A 27,922-nucleotide genomic window follows, 5' to 3' on the forward strand; every position below is an offset into this window, starting at 1 on the left:
CTGGTCTTGGACGACACTGGATGTGGGCTCTCCTCGGTTCAGAAACCAGCACTCTTGTTCCAACCGCACCCCACCCCCACCAGGAGTCAGGCCCTAAGCAGAGCCTTCCCAGTGGCTGGGCTCCAGCGTGGGGTGTCCCTTGCCGAGGTCACACAGCCTAGCCAGGCCTCATGTGCTCTGCAGCCACGCTGCCTCCGCTGGCCGGTTAGGCTTTTCCATCTCTGGCTTCCATGGGTTTGGTTCACTGGGAATGAGAGCTCAGGAAGATTCTGGGGTGGGGGTGCTACCTGAACCCCCAGAAATCCCAGAAAAGTGACAGCAGCTGAGGTGGGGGAGGGGAGGGGACAGTGTGACCCTCCAGCCTCCCTGGAAGGGGGTCCCACCCCAGAGAGTCTGTGGGGTGGGCAGAAGGGCCAGAACGGCTCCTCAGCCTTACCTCCCACTAGTGTGGGGTCCAGGACATGTCACTTCCCATCTTGGCACCCACCGCAGGCCCTGCCAGGGGCGGCACACAGCCACCAGGCTGAGCATGCGCCCTCCCCAGCCCCAGACCCCAGTTGGGCCAGGCGGGAGGCCAGGAGGCCGGGGGTGTCAGGCCCCGCCGCCGACACACCCACGCGAGCCGGAAACAACCAGGAGCACTATTCCCGGCCGGGTGGGTCCAGCAGCCGCGGGCTTCGCCCCGCCGGGACTCGCGGCCGCGCCTCCTCTGTACCACAGCTCCCAAGGTCCCCCCACGGACACACCCGGCCCCGAGGGTCGCTGGCAACCATGCCGACCCAAAAGCCCACGCACCGCCCTCCCCGCGGCCTCTCCGTCTCTGAGGTGGGCACCAGCGCTCACCTGGGGCGGCTGCAGAGGGGCCCAGGCCAGGGAGGGGCTCTCAGCTGCCGCAGAGTTGGCCTGTGGAGACCACAGCCAGGGAGCACTGCCCACCAGCCCCCAACCCCAAGGAGGGAGCCAGAGAGTGAAAGCCAGCAGGCGCTCCCCAAGGGGAAGGGATGGGCAGCCACAACCCCTGCGCCTCAGTTTCTCCTTTGGGAGAGCAAGACTCTCACAGCACCCACCTCACAAGAGGCTATGTATGAGGACTGGGGCCTGGGAGCATCCCCACTGTGCCCAGCAGATCCCATCCCGGAGCTCACATGGAGCTCCCGTTCCCACTGAATTTCTTTCCTGGGGTCCACCCGGGTGGTCTGCTTAGCTGGCTGGGGTTGGGGAGACAAGACAGGCTGTTCTGGGAGAGCATTCCAGGCAAGGACCTGAGGCAAGGAAGGACCCCTCAGACTGCAGGAACTGAGGTAGATGGGAAGCAAGTGGGCAGAGGCCATGAGGTAGGCAGGGCCCGACCACCGGCCTGGCAGCATTCTGGTTGAAGTTCATTCTGACAGAGACAGGTTCTAGCAGGGGAGGGGTGCAGCCCCAGTTGTGTTTTAGGAACACCGTTTTTCTTGCTATGTGAAGACTAGACTGGAGGGGTGGCAGCAGGCTGAATGACGGCCCCTCAAAGATAGCAGATCCTAGTCCTGGGAAACCGTGCACGTGACCTTATTGAGAAACAGGGTCACGTGCACTTTGCACAGATATGATTAGGCTAAGGATCTTGAGGCGACTATCCAGGTGGACCCTAAAGGCCAGGACTCGAGTGATGAGGCCACAAGCCAAGGAAGGCTGGGGCCACCAGAAACTGAAAGGGCAATAAACAGAGTCTCCCCTAGAGCCTTGGGAGGGAGCACAGCCCTGTGGTGCCTTTTCTGGGCCCAGTGACCTGGATTTTGAACTCTGGCCTTCAGCATACATTTCTGCTGTTTTCAGCTATCACATTTGTGTGTTTTGTTGCAGCAGCCACCGTGGGAAACGAATACAGTGGCCAAGAGTGTTTGGGGCAGGCCCTAGGCCAGCGCTGGAGGATGTGGGGAGAGGCTGGGAGAGGGGTGGGGATGACCGAGGTGTCAGCCTGAGCAAGGAGCCTCCATATCTGGGAAGATTCTGCCAATCAAACTGCCTTCACTAATCAGAACTTTCTCCAGTTTTTGTAATCCAAGCACATACTGCCTTGCCCAGTTGCGAGCCCCTCCACAGGGGCTGTGAAACCCTTTCCTCAGCGAGCTGTCCCCTGGAGGCCCAAAGTCCTCCTTGGAGCTGTGGGCGGTGGAACAGGGTGAATAACCCAGCCTGGATGGCTGTGTGGGTCCCCAGTCTCTTAGGCTTTCCCAACCCACTGATGGGCACTGCCTCGCTGCCTCCCTGACAGCCTGTGGCATGGGGATTGTCACCTCCAGGTGATACTGGCCCAGGTCATCTGGGAAAGAAGTCCTTTGCTACAGGGTGGCCTCCCAGAAGGACTCCTAGGGGCAGTAGGCACACAAATTCTCAGGCTGAGGCCAGCGGAGACCCTGCCCTTCCTCCCCTCCACGGCTCTCAGAGCTCAGTGAAGCATTCTCGGCCCTGGGCGCGATGCTGTCCCTCCACCCAGCAGGGCTCTGGCCTGGTCTCACGCCCAGTACTGGCCAGGCTCGCAGGGGCTGCTTGCCGGCTGCTGCCCTGGAACCCAGGGAGTCCTCCATGTTCCACTTGTGCCTCACTAATCTGCCGGTGGGCGGCAGAGGCTTGCTGCCCAACTGCGCTAATGGTCCTCGAGTCAGAAGGCCAGGGCCCAGCTGGCCCTCTAAGCTCCCACTTGGATGTGAGCAGGGGTAAGAGGCCTTCATGCTGGGGCTGCATCCAGGCATCCCCTGGGCCCTCCCTGCAGGCCCTTGTGTCCTGGCCCCTGCCTGCCTCCCTGATGTCTCCCTCATTCTGCCTGGCTTACCACTTACTGGCCACACTGCCGTCCTGGCCACACCACCGTCCTGGCTTCTCTAGCATGCTAAGCTCACGCTCTCCTCAGCCTGGCAGGCACTGTTCCCTGTGCCTGATGTTCTTCCCCGGCTCTTCCCTCCACACTAAGCCTCTGCGCAAATGTCAGCTCCGGCCAGAGACTCCCACATGTAAAGGCATTTATCATGATTACTGTTCCAAGGTGTCTGACTCATACTGCTATATCCTCTTGTTTCCCACCTTTTAATGTCACATTATGTCATGAGCATTTTTCCCATCTGACAAGAGTTTTTCCTCTGCTCCCTCAGACACAAAGATTTTTCACAGGGCACAGGGTAAAATCGCCCGGCCTTCTGCTGCTGGAACAGGGCTGAAGGGAGCCCCGTGACTCAGCACTCCCAGGGGACCTGTTTCTATTTGTCCTCAGTGGGTGGAGCAGCTTGCAGATCTGAGGAGGCGACCAGGCACAAACTGAGGGGTAGAATGGGACATCCATTCATCCAGTAGATCAGGAGGGGCTGGGGTTATGGGTACAAAACTCACCTTGTAAACTTCTGCAGTTTAGACGTAGATTCTGGGACAAACATGGGGATGGTCCTTTTGTGCCTGAAACAAATGTTTTTGCAGACAGAGATGCTGAGTAAGAGACCTTTCTGAGCCTCCAGGGAGAAGAAACCCTCAGATCAGGCCAGTGCAGCTGCAGCGTGGGCCAAGTCAGGGCCAATGTCAACGAATCCAACCTGTGCTAACTGAGCACCCCCTGTGTCTGGGCAAGGTGCTGAGCGCCAGGAGACAGCCTCATGGAGGTCAGAGTCCCTCAGGGTCTTTTCTTTTCTGGGTCCCACTACCTCCCCAACCCACCTGGTGTGTGGCTGGCACCACCCATCTGAAAGGTTCTCCTCCCAAATACAGGCTACAACCCCCCTGGCCACCAGGCTGAGCTGCCCAGGCCCCTGGAGACCCCAGAGCATTCCCAGCCTGAACCTAAGACAGAAAACGAGGTGAAGTCTGTCCTAGGACAAGTCCTGCCCAGGGCCCAGGTCAGAATGAGGACCTACCGGCCAGGTGAGAAGGGCACGTGCACGGCCCCATAGCCTCGAACCACATCGTTCCCGAACACATCTGGTCCATACACGCTGAGCACGATCTGTGGCCCTTGGGAAGGACAAGGCAGGGGGTGGGCACATGAGGACACACAGGGGAGGTGCAGGGCAGAGAACAGGGCGTGTCCAGCTGAGGGTGCTCAAAGGATGGAGCTCAAAACTCTGGGGTGGCAGGCTTGAGAGGGGACAGGAGCAGGCATGGGAACCCAGACTGTGCCAAAGACTTCTGCCCACCCTGGTACTTCCTGTGTCTCCACTGAGGCCTGGGCACACATTCCACACCCCTTCTCACCGCTATGGAGTCAGTGCCCACTCAGTCACTCCATGTACAAGGAGGCACTTCCAGAGGCCTTATCTGGGCCCAGGGCCCCAGCTATGATCAGGGCCGACTAAGGACCTCTGCTCTCTGGGTGCTCCCTTCCTGATGGAGGCGGGCTCATGGGACTGAGGTGGCAGGGGCTCATTTTGGGGGTGTCTAGAAGTCAGAGAGAAAAGAAAAACCTTCTGGGCATTTTCCTTTAAAATATTATAGGTACTATAATAGGTGTGGCTGTTTTTACACCCGCTTCGTGTTGCCATTGAGGCGCATGAGGCACTTTCACCTCGCCAGTTTCAGGTGAGGCCCAGGGAGGGACTAGGAGCCGGCCTGACAGGCTCTGATCCTGCAGCCACGACTGAGGCAAGTTAGCCAACCTCTCTGCCCCTGTTTCATCATCTCTAAAACACATGAAATAGTACCTAATGCATAGTGAGTGCTCAGTAAATGTTAGGGAGAGGTTTGTGCCCTTCCCATTACTACCTTCCACCAAAGGTAACCATTATTCTGAATTTTAGGAAACTACCTCTTTACTTTTCTTTAAGACTTCACTGCCAAAGAATGCATCCCAAACCTGGTACTTTACCTTTACCAATGTTTTTGAAAGTTTATACAAAAGGAATTATACAGTACATTTATTTTTGTGCCCAGACTCTAATCCAAAATTATGTCCATTAGATTTTCTCAAATGGTTTCCTGTAAAGGGGCGTGTTCATGTTCAATACCATATAACATTCTGCGTGGGAATCTGTCACAATGACTGTTCATTCTAGTGCTGATGGACACATGGGCTGCCCTTCCTCTGGGGGCCACGCACCCAGTGCTGAGCACCATGGCGCAGGCTCTCGGTACTCGCGTGCACACATCTCTGGTGGGCACACACCCAAGAATGACACTGCACAGGGCCCATGTATGTTCCCTCCCAAAAGGTAACACCAAGCTGCCAGCATGGTCCTATCAGCCAGCACTCCCCCAGCAGTGGTATCTGATTCCTGCTCCTCTGTACCTCACGAAAACATGGCATTACCAATCTTTTAAATTTGAGCCGTCCTAGTGAGAGAATAGTGGTAGCTCACTGTAGCTTTAACTTATATTTTCCTTCATTTTAGATTTTTCTTACTGAAATAAGGTTGAGACCTTTACCTGTTTCTTGGTCACCTGGATGTCCTCTTTTGTGAAGAACCTACTCAAGTCTCTTGCCCGGTTTTCTACTTGATGGTCTTTTTCTTTTTTCTTCATTAAAAACATTTTTTTTTTTTGAGACAGGGTCTTGCTCTGTTGCCCAGGCTGGAGTGCAGTGGTGCAATCATGGCTCACTGCAACCTCAACCTCCTGGGCTGAAGTGATCCTCCCACCTCAGCCTCCCAAGTAGCTGGGACTATAGGCGTGTGCTGCCATGCCTAATTTTTAAATTTTTTGTAGAGATGGGGTCTCACTATGTTGCCCAGGCTAGTCTCAAACTCTTGGGCTCAAGCAATCTTCCTGCCTCAGCCTCCCGAAGTGCAGGGATTACAGGTGTGAGTCACCTTGCCTGGCCTGGCCTTTTTCTTATTGATTTATAGTGTGTATATGTGTGTTTATCCTGTGACTTATCTTTTCATTTTTAGTGATGTCTTTGAATGAACATAAGCCCTTAATTTTAATATAGTCAACTTCATTGATCTTCTCCTTCATGGAGTCCTGCCAGAAAATCTTCCCTTACCCTGATATCATGGCTATAGTCCTCTATGCTACATATCCATCTGAAATTGACTTGTGTGTATGAGGACAGGCTGAAGTTTTTTCCTATGTATATCAAATTGTCCCAGCACCATTTATTAAAAAGACCAGGCTGGCGGGCGCCTGTAGTCCCAGCCACTCAGGAGGCTGAGGCAGGAGAATGGCGTGAACCCGGGAGGCGGAGCTTGCAGTGAGCTGAGATCACGCCACTGCACTCCAGCCTGGGCGACAGAGCGAAATTCTGTCTCAAAAAAAAAAAAGACCAGGCTGGGAGCAGTGGCTCATGCCTGTAATCCCAGCACTTTGGGAGGCTGAGGTGGCAGATCACTTGAGGCCAGGAGTTCAAGACCAGCCTGGGTAACGTGGCAAAACCCCTTCTCTATGAAAAATCCAAAAATTAGGCGAGGCGCGGTGGCTCACACCTGTAATCCCAGCACTTTGGGAGGCTGAGGCAGGTGGATCATCTGAGGATGGGAGTTCAAGAACAGCCTGGCCAACATGGTGAAACCCCATCTCTACTAAAAATACAAAAATTGGCTGGGTGTGGTCGCATGTGCCTGTAGTCCCAGCTACTCCGGAGGCTGAGGCAGAATTGCTTGAACCCAGGAGGCAGAGGTTGCAGTGAGCTGAGATCGTGCCACTGCACTCCAGCCTGGGAGACAGAGCAAGACTCCATCTCAAAAATAAAAACAAAAACAAAAACAAAAATTAGCCGGGCATGGTGGTGCATGCCTGTAATCCCAGCTACTTGGAAGGCTGAGGCACCAGAATCGCTTGAATCCAGGAGGCCGAGGTTGCAGAAAAAATCTTTCAACATTTCACCAGTAAAAGTGATGTTTGCTCTAAGCTTTTCATAGATAATCTTGATCAGGTTAGGGAAGCTTCCTTCTATTCCTAGTTTACTAAGCTTTTATCATGAATGGGAGTTGAATTTTACCATGTGTTTTCTTCATTTATGGGGATGATCATGATTTTTTTTTTCTTTTTTTTTTTGAGATGGAGTCTTGCTCTGTCACTCAGGCTGGAGTGCAGTGGTGCAATCTTGGCTCACTGGAACCTCTGCCTCCCAGTTTCAAGCGATTCTCCTGCCTCAGCTTTCCAAGTAGCTGGGATCACAGGCGTGCGCCACCAAACCCGGCTAATTTTTGTATTTTTAGTAGAGAAGGAGTTTCACCATGTTGGCCAGGCTGGTCTCAAATTCCTGACCTCAAATGATCTGCCTGCCTCGGCCTCCCAAAGTGCTGGGATTACAGGTGTGAGCCATGGTGCCTGGCCTGACTCTGACTTTTCTTCTTTTTAATGTGGTGAATTATTTAGAGACAGGGTCTTGCTACGTTGCCCAGGTTAGTCTCAAACTCCTGGCCTCAAGCAATCTTCCCACCTCGGCCTCCATATGAGCCACTGTGCCTGGCCAACTATAGATGTCATAAAACCTTTGTATTTTTGGAATAAACCCTACTTCTCATGATGTATTATATTATCCTTTTTTTATCTTGCTAGTTTCTGAATATTTCATTTAGGAGTTTTGAATTCAGTTTCTGAATATTTTGTTTGGGAGTTTTGCAACTCTGTTCATGAAGGAGTTTCTTCTTTTTAATGTCCTCAGCAGGCTTTAGAATCAAAACTATGCTGACCTAAAAAAGCTGGGGAATGTTTAATCTTTTCAATTCTAGGAGTTTGTGTAAATCTGTCGTTACTTCCTCTTCTTTTTTTTCTTACACTTCTGCCATGGAAGGTGTCATTCTTTAAATGCCTGGTGGAACTCAGTGATGAAGACACTCGGACTTGGAACTTTCTTTGTGAGAACATTTTTAATTATAGATTCAATTTAATAGACATAGGACTACTCAGATTCTTATTCCTTTTTTGCAGTTTTGGTAGTTATCTTTTTCTAGGAATCTGACCATTTCATCTACCTTGCCAAATGTATAGCAAATGGCTGTTCTTTATATCTTATCTTTTTACTGTCTGCAAGATCTGTAACATGTTCCTTTTTCATTCCTGCCATTTCTGTCTTCTGTTTCTTCTTATTATTTTTTAGAGATAGGGTCTAGCGCTGGCACCCAGGCTGGAGTGCAGTAGCATGATCATAGCTCACTACACCCCCAAACTCCTAGGCTCAAACAATCCTCCCACCTCAGCCTCCCGAGTAGCTGGGACTACAGGTTTGAGCCACTGTGCCTGGCCAATTTTTCTATTTTTTGTAGAGACAGGGTCTCACCATGTTGCCCAGGTTAGTCTTGAACTCCTGGGCTCAAGCGATCCTACCGCCTCAGCCTCCCAAAGTGTTGGGATTATAGGTGTGAGTGACCCCACTTAGCCTGTTTTTTCATCGTCTTAACTTGGGGTTTTCAGTTTTAAAAACCAACTTTTGCCTCTTTCATCTCTTCTGTTGTAAGTGTGCTTTCTGTTTAATGAATTAATTTCTGCTGTTTCTCATTCTATTCTGCTTTCTTTGGGTTTAACTTGCTATTCTTTTACTAATTTCTTTTTTTTTTTGAGATTGAGTTTCACTCTTTCGCCCAGACCGGAGTGAAGTGGCACAATCTCAGCTGACTGCAACCTCTGCCCCCCAGGATCAAGTGATTCTCCTGCCTCACTCAGCCTCCCCATTAGCTGGGATTATAGGCACCTGCCACGGGCCTGGCTAATTTTTTTTTTTTTTTTTTTTTTTTGAGACGGAGTTTCGCTCTTGTTGCCCAGGCTGGAGTGCAATGGCATGATCTTGGCTCACTGCAACCTCCACCTCCCGGGTTCAAGTGATTGTCCTGCCTCAGCCTCCCGAGTAGCTGGAATTACAGGTACGTGCCACCATGCCTGGCTAATTTTGTATTTTTAGTAGAGACAGGGTTTCTCCATGTTGGCCAGGCTGGTCTCGAACTCCCGACCTCAGGGGATCCGCCCGCCTTGGCCTCCCAAAGTACTGGGATTACAGGCATGAGCCACTGCGCCCAGCCTATGCCTGGCTAATTTTTAATATTTTTAGTAGAGATGGGGTTTCACCATGTTGGCCAGGCTGGTCTCGAACTCCTGACATCAGGTGATCCACCCGTTTTGGCCTCCGAAAGTGCTGGGATTACAGGCGTGAGCCACCACACACAGCCTTCTTTTACTACTTCTTTTTTTTTTTTGAGATGGAGTCTCACTCTGTCGCCAGGCTGGAGTGTAGTGACGCGATCTCAGCTCACTGCTATCTCCACCTCCTGGGTTCAAGCGATTCCCCTGCCTCACCCTCCTGAGTAGCTGGGGCTACAGAAGCCCACCACCACACCTGGCTAATTTTTTGTATTTTAGTAGAGATGGGGTTTCACCATGTTGGCCAGGCTGGTCTTGAACTCCTGACCTCGTGATCCACCCGCCTCAGCCTCCCAAAATGCTGGGATTATAGGCATGAGCCACCGTACCCAGCCACTAATTTCTTAAGAGAGATGCTGAAATCATTAATTTTTCAGCCTATTTTCTTCTCTAACATGCATTTAAAATTACAAAATTGGTCAGGCGCAGTGCCTCAGGTCTGTAATCCCAGCACTTTGGGAGGCTGAGGTGGGTGGATCACCTGATGTCAGGAGTTGAGACCAGCCTGGCCAACATGGTGAAACCCCATCTCTAATAAAAACACAAAAAAAATCAGCTGGGCATAGTGGCAGGCGCCTGTAATCCCAGCTACTTGGGAGGGTGAGGCAGGAGAATCATTTGAACCCGGGAGGCAGGTTTGCAGTGAGCCAAGACCGCCCGCCATTGCACTCCAGCCTGGGCAACAAAAACGAGACTTCATTTCAAAAAATAAATAAATACGACCAGGCATGGTGGCTCACGCCTGTAATCCCAGCCCTTTGGGAGGCCGAGGTGGGCGGATCATTTGAGGTCAGGAGTTCGAGACCAGCATGACCAACATGGAAAAATCCTGTCTCTACTAAAAATACAAAATTAGCCGGGCGTGGTGGTACATGCCTGTAATCCCAGCTACTAAGGAGGCTGAGGCAGGAGAATCGGTTGAACTCAGGAGCAGGAGGTTGCAGTGAGCCGAGATCGTGCCATTGCACTCCTGCCTGGGCAACAAGAGCAAAACTCTGTCTCAAAAAATTAAATAAATAAATAAAAATTAAAAATAAAATAAAATGACAAAATTTCCCTCTATCCATGACTTTAACTGCCCCCTGCAAATTCAAATAGCTCAGTATTTTTATTATCATTCAATTCAAAATTCCATTATTCCATCAGTATTTCTTCTTTGACATATGGGTTGTTTTTAGAAGTTATTTTCTTATTTTTCAAACATATGGAGATTTTTCTCATTATCCTTGCTATTGGTCCCTAGCTTAAGTTCACTGTGGTCAAAGAAAATACTCCACTCCTCCTGAAAAGCTAAAAGAATTCCAATGTACTGGCGCTGACTCACTACCGGATCACCACTGACAGCTGAGTCTACTTGCTTTACTGCCTCTCCCCATGCCTCAGTCAACTCTTCCTACTTGTGAGGAATTTCAAAGTAAATCACAGATCTCTGGACACTTTCCCCAAAATACTTCACTATGCATGTCAGCAAATAGAGCTCAATATTTGTTCACAGTTCTTTTGAGATAAAATTTATGCATAATGAAACATAAATCTTAAAGTGTACTATTCAATGGATTTTGACAAATGCATACATCTGTGTACTAGCTGCTTTCAAGATTTTCTTTTTGGCTGGGTGCAGTGGCTCATGCCTGTAATCTCAGCACTTTGGGAGGCTGAGGTGGCTGGATCATGAGGTCAGGAGTTCAAGACCAGCCTGGCCAAAATGGTGAAACCCCATCTCTACTAAAAATACAAAAATTAGCCAGGCATGGTGGCAGGCACCTGTAATCCCCAGCTACTCAGGAGGCTGAGGCGGAGAATTGCTTGAACCTGGGAGGCGGAGGTTGCAGTGAGCCGAGATCGCGCCACTGCACTACAGCCTGGGTGACAGAGCAAGACTCCGTCTCGAAAAAAAGAGAAAAAAAAGATTTTCTTTTTGTCTTTGGTTTTCAACTGTTTGATTATCATGCACCTAGGGGTGGGTTTCTTCCATTTATCCTGCTTGAGTTTTGTCTTCTTGAATTTGTGGCTTGATGTCTCTCATCATTTTTGAAAAGAATTGTAGCTATTTATCCCTTCCAATATTGTCTCCAGCTTGTCCTCTCCCCCTCCTTCCAGGATTCCAATTCCATATGGCAGACTTTCAGTATTCTCTGTCTCCTACCTTCTCATCTATATTTTCTATTCTTGGGTTTCACTGTAGATATTTTCCTTTGACCTTTCAGTATATAGTTATCTCTTCAGCTGTGTTTAATCTGCTGAATTCCTGCTTTTGGTTATCATATTTTTCAATTCTAGAATTTCTATTACAATGTTTAAAAAATATGGCCAGGCATGGGGCTCAAGCCTGTAACACCAGAACTTTCTTAGGCCAAGGTGGGAGGATTGCCTGAGCTCAGGAGTTCAAGACCAGCCTGGCCAACATGGTGAAACCCTGTATCTACTAAAAATACAAAAAATTAGCCGGACATGGTGGTGCATGCCTGTAGTCCCAGCTACTGGGGAGGCTGAGGCATAAGAATCGCTTGAATCCAGGAGGTAGAGGTTGCAATGAGCTGAAATGGCGCCACTTTACTCAGAAAGACAGAGCAAGACTCTGTCTGCAATTAAAAAAAAAAAAAAAAATCGGCTGGGCGTGGTGGCTCACGCCTGTAATCCCAGCACTTTGGGAGGCTGAGGCGGGCAGATCACGAGGTCAGGAGATCGAGACCATCCTGGCTAACACGGTGAAACCCCGTCTCTACTAAAAATACAAAAAAAAAAATTAGCCGGGCACGGTGGTGGGTGCCTGTAGTCCCAGCTACTCGAGAGGCTGAGGCAGGAGAATGGCATGAACCCAGGAGGCAGAGCTTGCAGTGAGCTGAGATCGTGCCACTGCACTCCAGCCTGGGCAACAGAGCAAGACTCAGTCTCAAAAAAAAAAGTCAGGCTTCCTAGTTCTCTGCCATAATTCTCAGTCTGTTTTATCTCTTTTGATCATAGTAAAAATATATCTGACAATTTCAGTGTCTAGAGATTCTGTTTATCTCTATTGCTTTATTGCCTTATTTTTGCTGGTTATCATTTATGTTGTCTTGGTTCTTGTGTGCCTCATTATATGCCAGATACTACATTTGAAAAAATATATAGAAATAATTTTATGTCTATGAGATGTTATCTTTCTCCAAAGAGTTTTCTTTCTTTTTTTTTGAGACAGGGTCTCACTTTGTCACCCAGGCTGGAGTGCAGTGGCATAATCTCTGCTCACTGCAGCCTCGACCTCCTAGGCTCCAGCGATCCTTCTGCCTCAGCCCCCCAAGTAGCTAAGATTACAGGCGCCCACCCCCATGCCAAGCTAATTTTCGTATTTTTAGTAGAGAGAGATTTTTGCCATATTGCCCAGGCTGGTCTTAAACTCCTGAGCTCAGGCGATCTGCCTGCCTCAGCCTCCCAAAGTGCTGGAATTACAGGCATGAGCCACCATGCCCAGCCCAAAGAGGTTTCTAATTTGTTTTTGTCAGGTGCCTTGGTGTAACAATCTTGGAGCTGAATAGAAGAATCAGGAGGTTGAAATCATCAGGGGCTGAGCTGAAATCCCTGTGAGGCTGCTCTGCTTCCATCTCTCCCTTATTCCTAGGGCAGCTCTTTGAGGTCTTAACCCAGTTGGTGAGATTTACCTGAGGCCCTCCTCCCAACCCCTTGGAAGGCTCTGAACATCAGTTTTTTTGTGTCCTGGACCCAGAGAGGCTGTCAAAAGTCTTGATCAGTCTCTCAATCACCTCTATTGAAATCAGCAAACACTCCCAGAGGAGATGGGATTGGGGTAACCTCTCTGGATTTCTGTTCTCCTGGATCTTGCCTGGTAAATCTCTTCTACTTTGCTAGCTCTCTGATGCCTCTGAGGTAGTTGCTTTTTGTTTTTGCTTTTGTGTATTACATTTACCTCTCCTACCTGTCCTCGGCAGGAGGAGGTTCGTCCAGTACCTACAGTACCTATTGCACTGTTCCAGGAAGTCTATTGAAACTTCCTACTCATGGATGATGACAGCAGGATGGAATTCCCTGCTCAGGAGGACCACCAAGCATTTTCTGCTCCAGACCCTCCACACCGTGGTAAGCCTAGGCCCAGGCCACGTGCAGTAGAAAGGCCTAGATTGTGAAATCAGATGGGCCTGAATTAAAATCCACACTTGGTCACTAGATGTAAAGCAGAAGGCAAATGATGTCAATTTTGAGTGTCAGTTTCCTTATATGGGAAAAGAAATGGAGAGAAATCTCTCCAGCAGGTATGATTGGGAAGCTCGGATAAGTCCACACAGTGAAAGTATTCATAGTCCCCATGGAGACTAAGCCCAGGCTTTGTGCACAGTAGGCACTTATGAAGTGCAAGTGAACAATCAGAATGGTTAATAACCACCAGCCAAGGTAGAAAGTAAGCAATGCCAGCCAGGAAGCCCTTGGGAAAGAGGTTAGACATAGGACGTGGGAATGGTATCCAGACAGATGGATCGGCATGAATAAAGCTCAGATGAAGAAAGTTGAGGGACTAGCACAGGAGGAGAAAGTGCCAGGGTCTAGCCGGAACACAACACGCCATGGGAAGTCAGCAGGCACAGAGTCAGGCCTCCAGGCCAAACAGCCACAGTCCTGCATGCCAGGGTGGGGAGCCTGCCTTTTACAGGCGTGGCCACTAGCCCTGATGCACTCTGAACTTCCAGAAGGCCAGCTGCACAGCCTGTAGCAGATGAAGGGGGTGAGTGGGGATGAGGAAGAAGAGGAGGGAAAGGGACAGATGGCGAGAGAGAACGTTGAGGGCTGCTTCAAGAGCCCAGGTGACAATCTGAATGTGAACAGTCATGGGCTGGATGAGGCAGAGGCTGTCTTGGGGGTGCTGTGTGAAAGCTCTGCCACCCTACCCCACAGGGCCCCTGCAGACTCACAGCCGTAGGGGTTGGTGCTTTTAAAGGTGACATCAATGGGGAAGTTCCACACCAGTGCTTGCCGCACATCTTGGCTCTTGGATGTGATCTGTGAGATCCCCTCCTCCAGACCCTGTGAGGACAGTGACACAGACGGCTGGATTCAGAGCAGAGCCAAGCTGCTGCGGCTCCTCCCCTTACCTTCAGCAGGCAGTTGGGAGGGCTGTTTTCTCAGCTGTCTTCTCCCAAGACACGAACTTCCAAACAAAGGGGACTAAGAGATGATGGAGTACCTCTTTAAGTCTGGTACTTTAACGCCGTAGCTTGACAACCCTGGGAGGCCAGCCACTCTCCCGGGCACAAGGGCACTAGATCTGGTCCCAAGCTCTTGCCCCACTGAAGGAATGGTCCAGCATGCTTACACTCTCCTGCATCCCCACCCTCACCTGAGTATCCCCATCCTCACCTGAGTATCCCCATCGGTAAATACGTAAATGTGTTTTCTCCATCAAAAATAGTCCTCTTTCAACTCTGCGGCTTCTTCCACCCACCAACCCTTTCTCTGCTCCCTTTATAGCAAAACTGCCTCAAAGAGCTGCCACACTCACCGGCTCCAATTCCTCCCCTGCTATTCTTTTGTGACCCCACTCCAATGTGACTGCTGGCTCCAGCACTCTACCAAAGGGTTTTCTCCATTAATGCCCGTGACCAACATTGCTAGATCCAATGGTCATTTCTCTATCCTCGTGTTACTTGACCCATCAGCAGCACCTGATGCAGCTGCTTACTCCTTGATACACTGTCTTCCCTTGGCTTCTGGGTCTCTCCACTGCACAGGGTGGCCCCTGCTCAGTGGCTCTTGCTGGTTCCTTCTCAGTGTTGCCGTCCTAAGGCTGCATCTTTGGCCAGCTCCTCTACCTGTACTTGGTGATCTCATCCATCTCATGGCTTTCAATGTGCTCTAGATGTCGATGATTCCCAAATTTATGTCTCCAGCCTGGTCCTTGCCTCTGCACTCTGGATCAGCACCTCCTCTTGGATATCCAGTGGGTGCCTCAACCTTAACCCACACCAGGCTGAGCTCCAGGTAGCTCTCCCCAATCTGTTCTTCTCACTGAAAGGCAGCTGCCTACTTCTAAGTGCTCAGGCTAAAAGCCCTGCTGTGAATCCTAACTCCTCCTTCTCTCAGACCTCACATCCATCAAAAGAACCCAGCGGCTCTATCTTCAGAATATACTTGCAGTCCAGCCCCTCCCACCACCCCACTGCCACTGCCCTCCTCTCCCATCTCCACTGCTGTCAGAGCCAACTGGGCTGCCTGCTCTTGCCCTTTCCCCCCGAGTCTATCCTTGTCGTAGAAGCCAGGGAATCTTCTAAAAACATAAGTCAGATCACTTTCTCTGCTGAAAGTTCTCCAGTGGGATCCCATCTCCCTTTGAGTAAAGGTCACAGTCCTTACTCTGACAAGACCTGCCCAGGTGCCTCTCTGCTCCAGCCACTCTCCTGCTGGCTCGCTCTCCAGTGGCCACACAGCCTCCTTGCTGGTCCTCAAACATGCCAGGCAAGCTCCTGCTCCAGGGCCTTTGCACTCTCTGCTGTTTCTGCCTGGACAGTTCTCACGGGTTTCCACATGGCTTGTTCCCTCACTTCCTTCAGGTCTTTCCTCAAAAGTTACTTTCTCGGCAAGGCCCTCCCTGGCAGCCTTAGCGAGATCGCAGCCTCCTTCTCATCACTCATCCCTGTCACTTCCTGGCTTGGTCTCCCCTCACACTTCTGGCTTACTAACATCCTAGAATATGCACTCCTTATTATCTGACCCCCCAGCAAGAACGTGCGCTCCGGGAAGGCAGGGTCTTCTGGTTTGGCTTTGCTCACCCCTGCATCCCCAGCACCCAGAAGACAATCAATAAAGGGAAAAGAAGGATTATCATCTCAGTTGTACAAATGAGGAAACTGAGGCTCAGAGAGCTTAAATAAGTTCAGTCTCCTTTTCTTAAACTGCTATGAAGATGAAACAAGTGCTTTGCAAACAGCAGAGCACAGAGCGGGCTGAAGTTGTCACCACAGTCCCTCACCTGGTGGAGGCAAGCTACCCCTTGGGAAGTCCTGGAAGGAGAGCTCCTACTCTGTCTTTTTACTCCAGGTCCTCCCCACTGGCTGAGGAGAGGCCAAATGGTGAGCGGACTGGCCAGAGTGTCCACAGCTCAGCCACGTCCAGGCTGGCTCACTGGGGCCTGCCTCCTACTGCAGGTGTTGCTCTTTGCTGCCCCGGGGAAGCTCACAGGGTAGGGCTTCTGAGTGCAGTCTTGGTGGATGGATCAGGGAGTCCAACCATGGCTGTGTCCTCTGCTCCCGCTTTACCAGGAACACTCATGTTTGGGTTCCCCTGAACTCAGTCTCTACCTCTTAACTTGTTCTGAATGGGGAGGGGAAGGATATGACACCTTCAGAAACCCCAAAAGTCATGAAGGCGGTAAGGGAGGCCCAAGAGTCCAGCTTACCGCTGTGGGGGCCCAGTCCTGGCCGTACACAAAGCAGTACTTGCAGTAGAGGTCATCATACTCTGGAAACTGAAAAAAGCACAGACAGATTCTGTCGACTGGTATTCATGCTGAGGCCAATGCATTTGCTAGGCAGGTGCAGCCAAGGGGAATTCTGAACGTGAGACACCTGGGAGTGGGTCTAAGAGACGGCTGGAGATGTGTTCAGAGGAGAGGCTGAGGACCAAGAAGCGGGAGTCCACGGGAGACTCCCAGGTGCCACGGCCCCTGGCTTTTGCTCAGGCTCTGCCTTGTCTGATTTGTCCTTCCTACTTCATCCGGAAAACTCCTGCTCACCCTTCAAAACTTACCCTTCAGGGAGCCTGCTCTAACTCTCAAGCTGGTTTAAGGTCTCCTCTTGGCTCCCTTAGCCCCGTGCTTCCCTCCATAAAAGCAATGATTGCCTGTGTCTAAGTCTGTCAGTTCCTCTAGACCATGAGTAGAGAAGAGATTTAATGCCTTTCTGTGTCCCCACTGCCTGGCACAGGGCTGGGCACAGATAAGGTCTAAGGCAGGGGTCCTCAACCAGTCCGTGGCCTGTTAGGAACGGGTCCACACAGCAAGAGGTGAGGAGCAGGCGAGCAAGCAAAGCTTCAACTGTATTTACAGCTGCTCCCCATTGCTCGCATGACCACGGGAGCTCCACCTCCTTGTCAGATCAGTGGCGGCATTAGATTCTCATAGGAGCACGAACCCTACTGTGAACTGCACATGTGGGGGATCTAGGTTGCATGTTCCTTATGAGAATCTAACGCATGATGATCTGTCACTGTCTCCCATCACACCCAGATGGGACCATCTAGTTGCAGGAAAGCAAACTCAGGGCTCCCACTGATTCTACATTATGGTGAGTTGTATAATTATTTCATTATTATTTACAAGGTAATAATAGAAATAAAGTGCACAATAAATGTAATGTCCCCAAATCATCCCAAAACCATCCCTCGCCACCTGGTTTTCCACAAAACCAGTCCCTGGTGCCAAAAAGGTTGAGGACCACTGGTGTAAGGGAATGGTGCTGAAGTGAAAGGTCTGAGAACCCAGGAAGCCATCATATGCAAGGCTGGAGCTGAGGCCCTGAAAAGAGGGAGGTGCTGAGAGCAGAGCAGGGAGGAACAGTGTGACTGTCAGTGTGTGTGTGGCGGGGGGGTCGCTGATGCTGAGAGCACAGACACATGTGACTCAGCCCAGCCGAGAGCCCCTAATAGGAAAGGACAGGAGAGTGGGGAAAGACGGTCTTAGGCACTAGGCTAAGGCAGAGGCGGACAGGGTGGGAGCATGGAGTAGTATCCCTGATGAAATAGGAAGGCAGGAGACACCTACAAAGCATCAGGCCCTGTCAGAGCCTTACCCAAACCGTCTCAGTCAATCCTCACAATAATATTATAAAATAATAATAAACACCACCTCCAACAGCCTGGAAGGACAGTGTAGTGAAGCTTTGAGGTCAGATAGGCGTGGGTTCAATTCCCAGACAGGCCAGTTCCTTTGGTATATTTCCCCAGCTGTAAAATGGGGGTGTTAGTAGTGCCTATCTGGTAAGGCTGTAAGGGTGGACCAGTGCGGAGCACCGACTTTGGGACATATTGAGGACTTGGTGAGCGTTGGTTTATATTTACAATAAATGATTCCTCTAAAGTGTAGGGGGATGGGGAATAGCGTCCCTCGGGCCTAGCAGGCACACCTTCCTTGGGTCAATTCCAGGCCACCACCATTGTTGGATGGTTGGATTCGAACCCGAGTTCAAGGATCTGGGGATTCAGAACGCGGGACAGTAACTCCACACGGGACACAGCGCAAATGCTGGAAACTCGGCCAAGCCTCGGCTCCTCGCGTTAACCCCAGGAGGCTCCTGCCAGTGATCCAAGCAAGTGGGCATGACCCGTGCGAGGGCCCACAGGCTTGCCCGAGTGTGACCTCGGTACTAGCTCAACATCTCGAGGTCTGCTTCTATTCCTGCACATCGGGACTCAGGATCCGGGCAACCTCGCGCCAAGCTCTCCAATGCTGGCTCCCCTCCCCCGCCTAACCGAGAGGCTCAGAGGAATGACGTGGCTCTCCGGGGGCCACAGGGCAGCCCGGGGGGTTGCGGGAAGGGCCCCGGGGGACGCTGGGGGGCGGGCCCCGGCGGGGTCCACGGCCGCTCACCTGGGCGCTCTCCACCTGCCCGTTGACCATGAGTAGAAAGACGCTAGGACTCGCGGTCGCCATGGCAGGTCTGGGGGTGCCGGGGGGACCCACCTAGGCCGCGCGCGGTTGCTAAGAGACGCCGGCGTTGCCCTAGAAACAGACGGCGTAGCGCGCAGGACACGTTTCTTGGCAGCGACACCTTCGCGAAGGCCACGCGAGTGCGCGTGTGGCATGCGCAGGCGCAGTGAACGGGCGCCGTTATAAGGGGGCGGGGCACAAGGGGCGGGGATCCACGCCGAGGCTCCACCCCTCCTTAGGGCAGGTATGACCGAGAGCTGGGGCGGGAGCGTTGACCTGTCGGGTAAAGCCAGCCCTACCGCTCGACTCAGTTGCACGCGCAGGGAGTGTGTGTTCACTCTGACTCGGCCCGGCTCCCCGTCCCCGCCGAAGCGCAGAGGCGAATGAGAGCTGAGTCCTGGGGAGCAGCGCTCCGACTCACGCCCTCAGCAAGCCGAGTGTTTAAAATACATTCAGCCACTAGATGTCGCTGTGGCCCCACCGCGAGGACGCGGAGGGAGGCGCTGCAGAGCACGGGCGACGTGACCACAGCTGTCGGGGCTAACTCTGGAATGCCGGGTGCTCGGAGGAGCCTCCCCAGCTGGGGCCAAGCAGCGTCCAAGCAGGTGAAAAGGATGCGCCCCTGTGGCTTGGAGACGCTTGCCCTCGAAAAAGTTTATTAAACAAACTTGGGAGGGACCTCAAGAATCCTTACATCCAAGCCATCGCTCTTTAGTTCGAAGCTGGGGAAACTGAGGCCCGCAGCGGGCGGCGCCTGGCACCCCAATCAGCCAGCGCTCAGGGGAGTTGCTAGCCAAAATCCACGAATCTGTCAAGATACAGTCTTGTATCTTAGTGGCCTGTCACAGAGTAAGCACTTGGTAACTACTAACTTGTTGATAAATGAATAATTGAAGACATCTCCATTTTACAGAGGAGGAAACAGATTCAGATGGCAAAGGCAGGTAAGTAGCTAAGTCAGGATTCAAACCCAGGACTCCAGAGGCTAACAACCCTCACTGCCTCTGTCTTGTCCTGGGCCAGCCCCAACAGCATCTGTTGGCAGAGGTGTCAAAGGAGACGTTGGAGACATTATCTTGGATCCAGGAAATGAAGGGATTCACAGGTGTGTAGACTCCCGGGAGGCCAGGCTCCGAGCAGGGACCCCAGGTCATCACATTCTGCAGCTTCTAGCTTGGGAGCAGACTAGGGGAGTCCCATCAACCATCTGCACGAGGGAGGGAAGGAGCAGTCTCAGCCCAGCCTGCACCCACTGAACCACCCCCTGCCTAGTGAGCAAAGATATTTGATCAGGGGAGGGAGGCAGCGGGTAACCAGTTCACACATCTGACAAGAGCAGCTGGGGGAGGGGATGGGTGGGCTGGTGGCCCAAGTGCTGCACCCAGAGCCCAAGACAGGGCCCATTTCCCCTCCTGGAGAGGGGGTCATACTCCCTTCTTCCCCCGCTCTGTCCATCTCTTTCCAGTTAAAGTGCTTTCTCCCACACATTCTATCAGTCTCACCCAATTATTTCCTCCCTTTGGCCTTTGAGGCTCGGTGTTGCACACAAGTTAGTTTTCAGCAAAATGCTTGTAGTTATCGAATAACTGGGGGCTCCCAGTAGTTTAAGACCTGGCTATACCAAAGGTGGCCCCACATTCAAATAGGACATAATGGGGGAGTCTCCCCAAGGGGTGGGAAGTTCTAGGGTGGCCTTCAGGGGTACAAATAAGCCCGACCCCTGGGTGTTGGGGAATGGAAGACTCCAGGATAGGATGGGAGGGTGACCAGGCCTAACTTTAACAAGTCTAGTGGCATTAGAAGCGACTTTAGGAGAGGGGTCTCAGGGGCTTGCATAGGGGCTTGCATAGGGCCTGCTGGAATCCTTACCACCAGTTCAAGGGCCCAGTGGAGAGCCTGGTGTACTAGAAGTCCTTGGGCAGGCTGTCCTTCAGGTCAGGACAGTCAGGTTGGAGGAGAAGGTAGTTTCTGCAGATGCTGACACACAGCGATCTCAGCAGGACACTCTGCAGCTCTTGGGGTGGGATGTAGGGATCTGCAATGGGGTGGGGCAGACCCTCAGCCCAGCTGACATCCAGCCGATCTGCACCAGTCCAGCCATGCTGGTTGTTAACATATATTGCTGAGCTTCCCTGCCTGTGCCTGTGCCAAGTCTCTCCACCCCCAGATGCCTTCCTGGGCTCCTAGACATTCCTCGCTCCCACCTCACTCTTAGTACAGCTCTGTCCTCTGGTACACTCCCACGCAGTCCCCTCAGGGAAGCTTCCAGCACATTGGGCAGGCGGGGCTGTCAGCCATTGGGCAGGGGTGAGGCTGGAAGCTGGCTTGAGCAGAGCAGGTGTCAGCGCCAGCCCTCTTCCCTGCATGCCTATGGCCATGGTGCTGCCGGGCAGCTGGCCAGAGCCCCTGCAGGGTCCCAAGCTCCACCCTGGCCATCTGCCTCCCCCAGTCTCTCAACCATCCCAGGCTTCTGCTCCCATCCTTACTGAAATCGGGTTCAAACCCCTGGCCCCAGCAGAGCTGTCTCAGGAAGAGGGAACAGTGGGATTGAGTGGCCAGGGGGACGGCCTGCACAGCGCTGGTGAGCGACGGAGGCCTTGCCCCTTGCCAGTTGTGCCAGGACCAGGCTACCAAACCCAGAGCCCTCGGGCCCTGCTGAGGACAAGAGCAGCTCCCCCATGGTAACCTGATCTCACAAGAGTCCATCTGCAGTCGATCTGGACCCAAGGTCACACTGAAGTGGGACCAAGGCCAACTGTGGAGAGAGGAGGTGAAGGGGAGGTGGAGAGCTGGAGAGGCTGGGGGCCACCCTCCTGGAGCCCCTCTCCACCACCCCTCCTGGCTGTGCACCCACCTGTCAAAGCAGTTGGCGCCTGTGAGCACCCACTCTTGGGAGATGAGGGCCCCCTCACAGCGGCACCAGGTGTCCAGGAAGATGCTGGCCTGGCCAAGCCATTTGTCTGGGCCCTTCTTGCTGGAGGCCTCAGCCAGCCTGGACCCTGCACCTCAGGAGACTGAAGCCTCAGAGCTCAGCTCCGGGTCCCAGGGCCTTGCAGGTCTACCATGCATCTCTTTCCATCCAGCCCTGCGATCTCTGCAGCCCAGCTTCCACCCCTCACCCCTCCAGCTCAAAATCAGACTGCCTGCAGTGGAATCCTATGTGACTCAGGGAAAGTCCTTTAACCTCTCGGAGCCTCGGTTTCCTCATCACACCCAGGGGGTTGTTGTGAGGATTAAATGTGATAATATATGTCAAAGTTCCATACATTTGTAGCTATTCTTTTTTTTTTTTTAATTAAAAAGTTTATGGGCACATAGTAGGTGTATACATTGCAGCTATTCTTGTTGCTGAAGTCATTCCTGGGGTGCTCCTGCTTTTTCATGCCTCCTGGTTTGCACATGCTGTTCCTTCTACCTAGCTCATCATCTCCTACCTATCCGCCCAGAGAACTCCTATGTAGCCTTCAGAGCCCACTCTTGTGAAGTCTTCCTTGAACGCCTCTCCCCTTGGCCCCACAGTCTGCTCCCCACTTCCCACCCAGAAGCTCATTATAAGTGGGTGTCCGGCTCTGCTTGCTTTTCTCTTTAGACAGGGAGCTCACTCATCTCTAAGGAAGCTGGGCCTCCTTGAGGACAGCCCTCCATCTGCTCTGCCCTGGTCATCGGGGTCCACCCTCAGCACCTTCAAGGGGTGGGGAGCCCTGGGGTGCACACTAGGGGCAGGCATCCTGCATACAGACTTGGCGCTGGGGTCTCCAGATCCTCCTCCCAGGAGCTTGTCCTGGGTCCTGGGGCAGGGGACTTCTTAGAGTCCTGCTCTGCCCCGTCTCAGGTAAGAGGCAGAGAGGGCAGCTGGCTGAGACCAACAGTAACAATAATAATCCCATGTGCCCTCTCTTTACACCCCCACGAAGTCCTGAGCCCCTGTGATTCTGGGCTCCTCACAGTGACCCCCCAGACCAGTGCTCCTAGCCCCCTTTTACAGATGGGGAAGTCGAGGCTCAGAGACAAACCGACTTCCCAAGATCACAGTGAGTTGGAAGCAGAGTTGGGATTCAAATCAGGGTCCCTGTGACTCCAAGTCCCCAAATCATTTCTCTCAAAGGCCTTATAGGTCTTTCCTTCTGTCTTTGCCTCTTGGCTCTTCAGCGGAGGGGCCACACTTGGAACACCGGTTGCTTGAAATGCCTGGTGCAGGCACTCGGCTGAATTTCACAAATGGTGCAAAGTCAATACCCTTTGTGGCCTGTCCCTGACGATTCCTTGGGCCTCACCTCACCCTTCCCCTCAGGCTTGAAGTACTGTATGCCTGCGGTTCTAGGTGGGCAGGTCCATGCAAACCAGAAGCTACAGGGGCTGAGAGGCCAAAGAGAGAGGCAGACAAATCTGGTTTCTCAGAAAGAAGCATTTAATAGAGGCACATAAACAGAAGCCATGTCTAGGGCGGTCACGAGACATGTAGGTCTCTGCACTGTTACCTCTAGAGCCAGGGCATGTATAGCATAGGGAAAGGGCATACATGCTTCAGAAGGGGTGTGTAGGACAATTGATCAGCATTGCCAGTGACGGTAGATAAAGTAGAAATCTTAGAGGCCTTTCTGGAACTGGGGTCAATCAGAAGCCAGCATGGCAGATTTGCCTCTGAGATGGAGCCGCTTTGGCCTCTGCACCTGCACATGACGTTCTCAACAATGTTGTGTGTTTATTTTTTGAGAGGAAGTTCACATAACCTAAAATCAATCTTTTTTTTTTTTTTTTTTTTGAGACAGAGTTTCGCTCTTGTTGCCCAGGCTGGAGTGCAGTGGCGCCATCTCGGCTCACTGCAACCTCTGCCTCCTGGGTTCAAGCGATTCTCCTGCCTCAGCCTCCCGAGTAGCTGGGATTATTGGTGCCTGCCACCATGCCCAGCTAATTTTTGTATTTTTGGTAGAGACACGGTTTCCCCATGTTGGCCAGGCTGGGCTCAAAGTCCTGACCTCAAGTGATCCACCTGCCTTGGCCTCCCGAAGTGCTGGGATTACAGGCATGAGCCACTGCACCCGGCCAATCAGCCATTTTTTATGTGTATAATTCAGGGGCATTCTGTATATCACCTTGTCTTTGCAAATGTTGTTCCTTTGTTCTAGAAAGTCCTTCCTGCCATTTCTGCCTGGAAGCTTCCTGTTGAACTTCAAGAGCCCGATAAATGCCCCTTCCTCTGGGATGTCTTTTTTCTGATCCCCAACTTGGTCTAGGGGCTCTCCCTGGGCTTCCTCAGCCCCTTGGTCACAGCCCTTCCACACTAGTGGTCTGACTTGGTCTCCCCAGCCAGACTCAAAGTCCCGGCATATGCAGTGGAGGGTGGGTGCACTGGGATCATTTACTAAATGCTTGTTGAGTGAATGCATGAGTGGAGGTCTTTGGGGAGCACTCTGGGGGGCCCTGAGGCCTTGTGGGTAGGGCTGGGCCCTCGGGTTCCAGCCACAGGGAGGGCCTAGAGTCTGACATGGGGAGAGACAACTCGGATCCAGCCTCCTGCAGCATAACAGAATAAACCGGTCTGGGTCTGAGGCAGAGCCCGAGGTGGGATAGAGGGCTCTCAGTTTCCATTATCAGCCTTTCCTCAACTTGCAGTGTGAGCCCAGGCCAGTCACTGCCGTATTCTGGGCCTCAAAATCTTCATTAATGAGAAGAGGGCATTGCCTGGACTATCTCACTCTCCTGTTAAGTCATTTGAAGGGCTGCGGGAATCCCTGGCCTTTCTAAACCGTGACTCGGGCTAGGCATGCCCCCTTTACCCCTGAAGCTCACGGGAGAAAGTGCTTGGAGTAGCTTCTTCTAGGAGTTAGTCAGCAGACAGAGCTGAGTTCCAATCCAAACTCTTCCCCCTCACTGGCTATGTGACCTTGGGCTGTTTGCTTAACCTCTCTGAGACTCAGCTTCTGGGAAAATGAGGAACATAAGATCCCTACTAGTAGGGCTCAGTAAATGTCAGCAATGGTCTCCACAGTGAAGATGATGACATGATTGGAGTCCAGTTTACTTGCAGACAGACAAGTTGAATTGCTGGCCAAATTCTGAAAAAAATCGTAGGTCTTTAAAAATCATTCATTTGGGGGCGGGGCACAGTGACTCATGCCTATGATCCTAGCACTTTGGGAGGCTGGGGCAGGAGGATCATTCGAGCCCAGAAGTTCAAGACCAGCCTGGGCAAATAGAGACCCCGTCTCTAAGAAAAATACAATAAATAAATTAGCCAGGCATGGTGGTGTGGGCCTGTGACCCTGGCTACTTGGGAGGCTGAGGCGGGAGGAGCACTTGAGCCAGGGTTTGAGGATGCAGTGAGCTGATGGCGCCACAGCAAGACCCCATCTCTTACAAAACAAAAACAAACCCAGAACCATGAGTTCTGTTTCTTAACACTGGATGTTACTGAGTATAAGCACCTCTGACGGTTCTAGGATGCTTGTTTCTAAGAGCTACATTTTCCCCCTCTGAGAAACAGTGAAGTGGATGACATTCTTTTTTTGTTCTTGAGAACTGCTATGAAGAAAAAACATGAAGCATGGCAAAGAGCTAGCGAGGGATAGGGAAGCGTATAGGGTTATGGTAGACAAGCAATTCTCCTCTCAGGAGAAGACATTGGAGCAAAGTCCAGAAAGAAGTGAAGGGTTGAGTCATGCACGGATCTGGGGGTGTGTACGTCCAGGCAAAGAGCATAGTCGGTGCAAAGGCCCTGCATGGAGGGAGGGGCAGTCTGGAGCCTGCCTGCACTGAGACAACTGTGCACCTCTTCCCAGGGCCGCGTTCGGTGTGTCATGCTGGTAGCTTGCGATCAGCCACGGAAGGAATATTTACACTAAGGAAATTGGCCAATGCAACAATCAGGGCTTTACTATTTTATATTTTATTTTTTCTCAGAAAACGGGACGTGCTACTTTACCAGCACATCACTGGGGGTAGGAGATGAGGTCAGAGAACTCGCCAGGCCCAGATCACCCAGCGCCTGAGTGGCTGGAGGTTAAGTGAGTTGGGTTTTTACAGGGTCCCTCTGTGTGGGTGTGGGGGGAAAGCTGAGAGGCCGAGGAGCAGGCAGATGTGGTCATCCAGGTAGGTTTGCCAGACTTAGCAAAGAAAAATACAGGATGCATGCACTACTCGGGACATACCTAACTAAAGAATTATTTGTTGTTTATCTGAAATTCCAACTTAAAACACTGGGTATCCTGTATTTTAGCTAGCAACCCAGGTGGCAGGTGGAAGATGGAGATTCACGATTGCTTCTGGAAGACTCGCTGTGTGATTCCGCCCACCCCATGGCCATTCCCTCCTCCTGAGATGTTCAGAGCAGGATTCCTACCTAGTGCCCCGCCAAACATGGCCCACACCCCAAGTCACCCTGGACCACACCCGCCCCTCCGTCATTTCCTACAGGCTTTTCCTGCAGATTGAGAGAGGAAACTGGGCAGGGAGCACACCACTGATGGGTGAAATGATGATCTCACAGGAAACCAGACAAGCTAGAGTTGTCACCACACCCTGGACTCAGAGAACTTGGGTACTTCACCGACGGCCACCTCCCATCGCCCTTTCATTCTTCATGGGCAGGGCCTTGCAAGCCTTGGTGATGGATTTTATTCCATGAGATGGGGCAGCTGTTGCAGGAACACGATTTGAGTTGTTTTTTGAAAGATTGCTCTGGCTACTGTGCAGAGTGGCTTCTCAGGGTGCACACGGGGGAGATGTCGTAGGACAACTGGGTGTTGGATCTGGAGCTCAGGGAGAACAACCCTCAGAGGAGATGGCCCCTGGCTGAGCCTGGAGATACCACCATTCCAGAGAAGAGCAGAGGGCCAGGAGAAGGGGCGTGTGGCTGTGTGGTTGACATCTCGATGACATGTGCTGTGTGTGTCCCTCACAGACTTGGGATCTTTCTGGGAGGCAAACACAGGCCTTGGGGAATGTTCTGGGATGGGCGATGTCAGCCTCAGTGTGTTTGCTCAGCTGCTGGGCTCTCTTGGGACCATAGAGGACTGCAGCACCAATGGTGGAACTCCAGGCGTGGTGACAGGATGTGACCAGGTTCCCCCACCCAGGTCTGTGGTCAGCCTGGCTGTGCTGAATGGTGGAAGCAGGGGTGAGGCCCCGAGAGGTGTCTGGAGCCATCTGGCCGTGAGGTCAGCCACCCAGCCAGGCCTCTGGAAGCCATGGGCAGCCACTTCCCAGATGCGGCTTCCTGCCCTTTCCTCCACCAAAACCACACTCAGCTCATAGGCTGGCCTCAGGGGCAGTCCCTTTCCCACGGGGAGGGCCGCATGCAAATGCCACACTGAGCTGAGCCAAGGCAGGGGTCAATTCTGAAGGCCTGGATCCTCCATGTCCTATGGGCAGGTCAACCACAACAAAGCCCAGCCTGCCCATCAAGCCCCACTGCTTTCCACTGCTTTGGTGCCTTCGCCTCTCTGGGTGAACCCTGCTCACCCTGAGCCCCTGCATGTAAGGCACTTTTAGATGCAATCATCCCCTGCGATTTTCCTGATACAGGGAGAAGAAGGCAGGTGGCCCTGGCCACTGTGTGTGCTGACGCAGAGCGAACAGGCAGCAGCACTGGAGGGAGGGAGGAGTGTGTGTGTGGCTGTGCGTCCTGTGTGTGGATTTTTGTGTGCAAGTCCCGTGTGTGTACCTAGCATGTATGTCCCAGTAGCTTGTGTGTACCTGTGCCCTGGGTGTGTGCTTGTGCAAATCTCTGTGTGTGTTTGTGCAAATCTTTGTGAATGTAAACCTGTACCTAAGAGTGTTGTCTGTGTGTCAACGTGTGTGTATAGGCGCCTGGAACCAGTTATGATTTAGATCAACACCCCACTTTCAGCCTTGGCGAGATTCCTTCCTGCAGGACCGGGGAACAGATCACTACTCCCATTTTGCAGAAGTGAGACTGAGGCTCAGAGAGGGCCGAGACTTGCCTAAGGTCACCAGCTGATGGGATTACAATTCAGTCCTTACCTCTATGGTGGCTTCTAAGGGTTCATGGGTGTTCTTGGTCCCAAACTCTCCTCCCCAACCTGTTCCATTGGTGCCTGCAATACCCCTGTTGGGAAGAGACAGTGTCCTTGGCAGATTCATCTGTTAAACTGGCCTCCCTTCATGAAACAGGGACAATCCATCCTTCCCAAGACTGTCCTAGCGGGTAGATGGCCCCTGGAGCAGGAGGGCCTGCCAAGGAAGGCAGGGAAGGGGAAGGGGTGGGGGTCCTGCAGAAAGACAACTGCCTGCCCTTCAGAG

At 52.2% G+C, this 27,922-nt stretch overlaps 1 protein-coding gene, 1 long non-coding RNA gene and 1 other non-coding gene across 19 annotated transcripts in view, besides 8 other annotated features; 1 reads left to right on the plus strand and 2 right to left on the minus strand.

The window, feature by feature from the left end:
* The window catches only part of B9D1 (B9 domain containing 1), a 43,219-nt gene that overhangs the window by 9,211 nt on the left and 6,086 nt on the right, over window positions 1-27,922 (minus strand). For 7 of the 17 annotated variants that reach the window (NM_001321219.2, NM_001321218.2, NM_001321217.2 and 4 more), the window contains exons 1-5: window positions 18,602-18,818; window positions 16,415-16,483; window positions 13,935-14,046; window positions 3,879-3,975; window positions 3,364-3,426 (exon numbers count right to left, since the gene is read on the minus strand). In NM_001321219.2, coding sequence (NP_001308148.1) covers window positions 3,364-3,426; window positions 3,879-3,975; window positions 13,935-14,046; window positions 16,415-16,483; window positions 18,602-18,664 — 404 coding nt within the window. In that variant the 5' untranslated portion in view covers window positions 18,665-18,818. Of the gene's footprint in view, window positions 1-3,044; window positions 3,292-3,363; window positions 3,427-3,878; window positions 3,976-13,934; window positions 14,047-16,414; window positions 16,484-18,601; window positions 19,869-20,530; window positions 20,697-27,643; window positions 27,729-27,922 lie in introns of those variants that run through there. The other 10 variants (XM_047435753.1, XM_047435751.1, XM_047435754.1 and 7 more) reach the window with 6 other exon arrangements.
* On the minus strand, window positions 601-669 carry MIR1180 (microRNA 1180). Its single transcript, NR_031591.1, has one exon. It is a non-coding gene; the product is annotated as a microRNA 1180 (primary transcript).
* Window positions 1,691-1,985: a silencer, noted in NCBI's record as "tiled region #2588; K562 Repressive non-DNase unmatched - State 7:EnhWF". NCBI's record gives its function as "represses a minimal TATA promoter and a strong SV40 promoter by Sharpr-MPRA in K562 cells {active_cell/tissue: K562}" and the evidence as "EXISTENCE:reporter gene assay evidence [ECO:0000049][PMID:27701403]".
* Window positions 1,691-1,985: an enhancer, noted in NCBI's record as "tiled region #2588; HepG2 Activating DNase matched - State 5:Enh". NCBI's record gives its function as "activates a minimal TATA promoter and a strong SV40 promoter by Sharpr-MPRA in HepG2 cells {active_cell/tissue: HepG2}" and the evidence as "EXISTENCE:reporter gene assay evidence [ECO:0000049][PMID:27701403]".
* Window positions 13,797-14,296: an enhancer, noted in NCBI's record as "H3K4me1 hESC enhancer chr17:19261015-19261514 (GRCh37/hg19 assembly coordinates)". NCBI's record gives its function as "activates a minimal SCP1, AML or CMV promoter by ChIP-STARR-seq in naive H9 embryonic stem cells {active_cell/tissue: H9 hESC(naive)}" and the evidence as "EXISTENCE:reporter gene assay evidence [ECO:0000049][PMID:30033119]".
* Window positions 18,278-18,417: an enhancer, noted in NCBI's record as "active region_11856". NCBI's record gives its function as "activates an Ori minimal core promoter by ATAC-STARR-seq in GM12878 lymphoblastoid cells {active_cell/tissue: GM12878}" and the evidence as "EXISTENCE:reporter gene assay evidence [ECO:0000049][PMID:35858748]".
* Window positions 18,458-18,727: a silencer, noted in NCBI's record as "silent region_8288". NCBI's record gives its function as "represses an Ori minimal core promoter by ATAC-STARR-seq in GM12878 lymphoblastoid cells {active_cell/tissue: GM12878}" and the evidence as "EXISTENCE:reporter gene assay evidence [ECO:0000049][PMID:35858748]".
* On the plus strand, window positions 18,872-27,827 carry LOC105371573 (uncharacterized). The gene is made up of 3 exons (XR_934302.4): window positions 18,872-19,266; window positions 19,575-19,605; window positions 25,562-27,827. It is a non-coding gene; the product is annotated as an uncharacterized LOC105371573 (long non-coding RNA).
* Window positions 18,877-19,661: an enhancer, noted in NCBI's record as "H3K4me1 hESC enhancer chr17:19266095-19266879 (GRCh37/hg19 assembly coordinates)". NCBI's record gives its function as "activates a minimal SCP1, AML or CMV promoter by ChIP-STARR-seq in primed H9 embryonic stem cells {active_cell/tissue: H9 hESC(primed)}" and the evidence as "EXISTENCE:reporter gene assay evidence [ECO:0000049][PMID:30033119]".
* Window positions 19,218-19,287: an enhancer, noted in NCBI's record as "active region_11857". NCBI's record gives its function as "activates an Ori minimal core promoter by ATAC-STARR-seq in GM12878 lymphoblastoid cells {active_cell/tissue: GM12878}" and the evidence as "EXISTENCE:reporter gene assay evidence [ECO:0000049][PMID:35858748]".
* Window positions 27,589-27,648: a silencer, noted in NCBI's record as "silent region_8289". NCBI's record gives its function as "represses an Ori minimal core promoter by ATAC-STARR-seq in GM12878 lymphoblastoid cells {active_cell/tissue: GM12878}" and the evidence as "EXISTENCE:reporter gene assay evidence [ECO:0000049][PMID:35858748]".

This window comes from Homo sapiens, chromosome 17 (genome assembly GCF_000001405.40).
Source record: "Homo sapiens chromosome 17, GRCh38.p14 Primary Assembly".
In the NCBI taxonomy this organism is placed as follows: domain Eukaryota; kingdom Metazoa; phylum Chordata; class Mammalia; order Primates; family Hominidae; genus Homo; species Homo sapiens.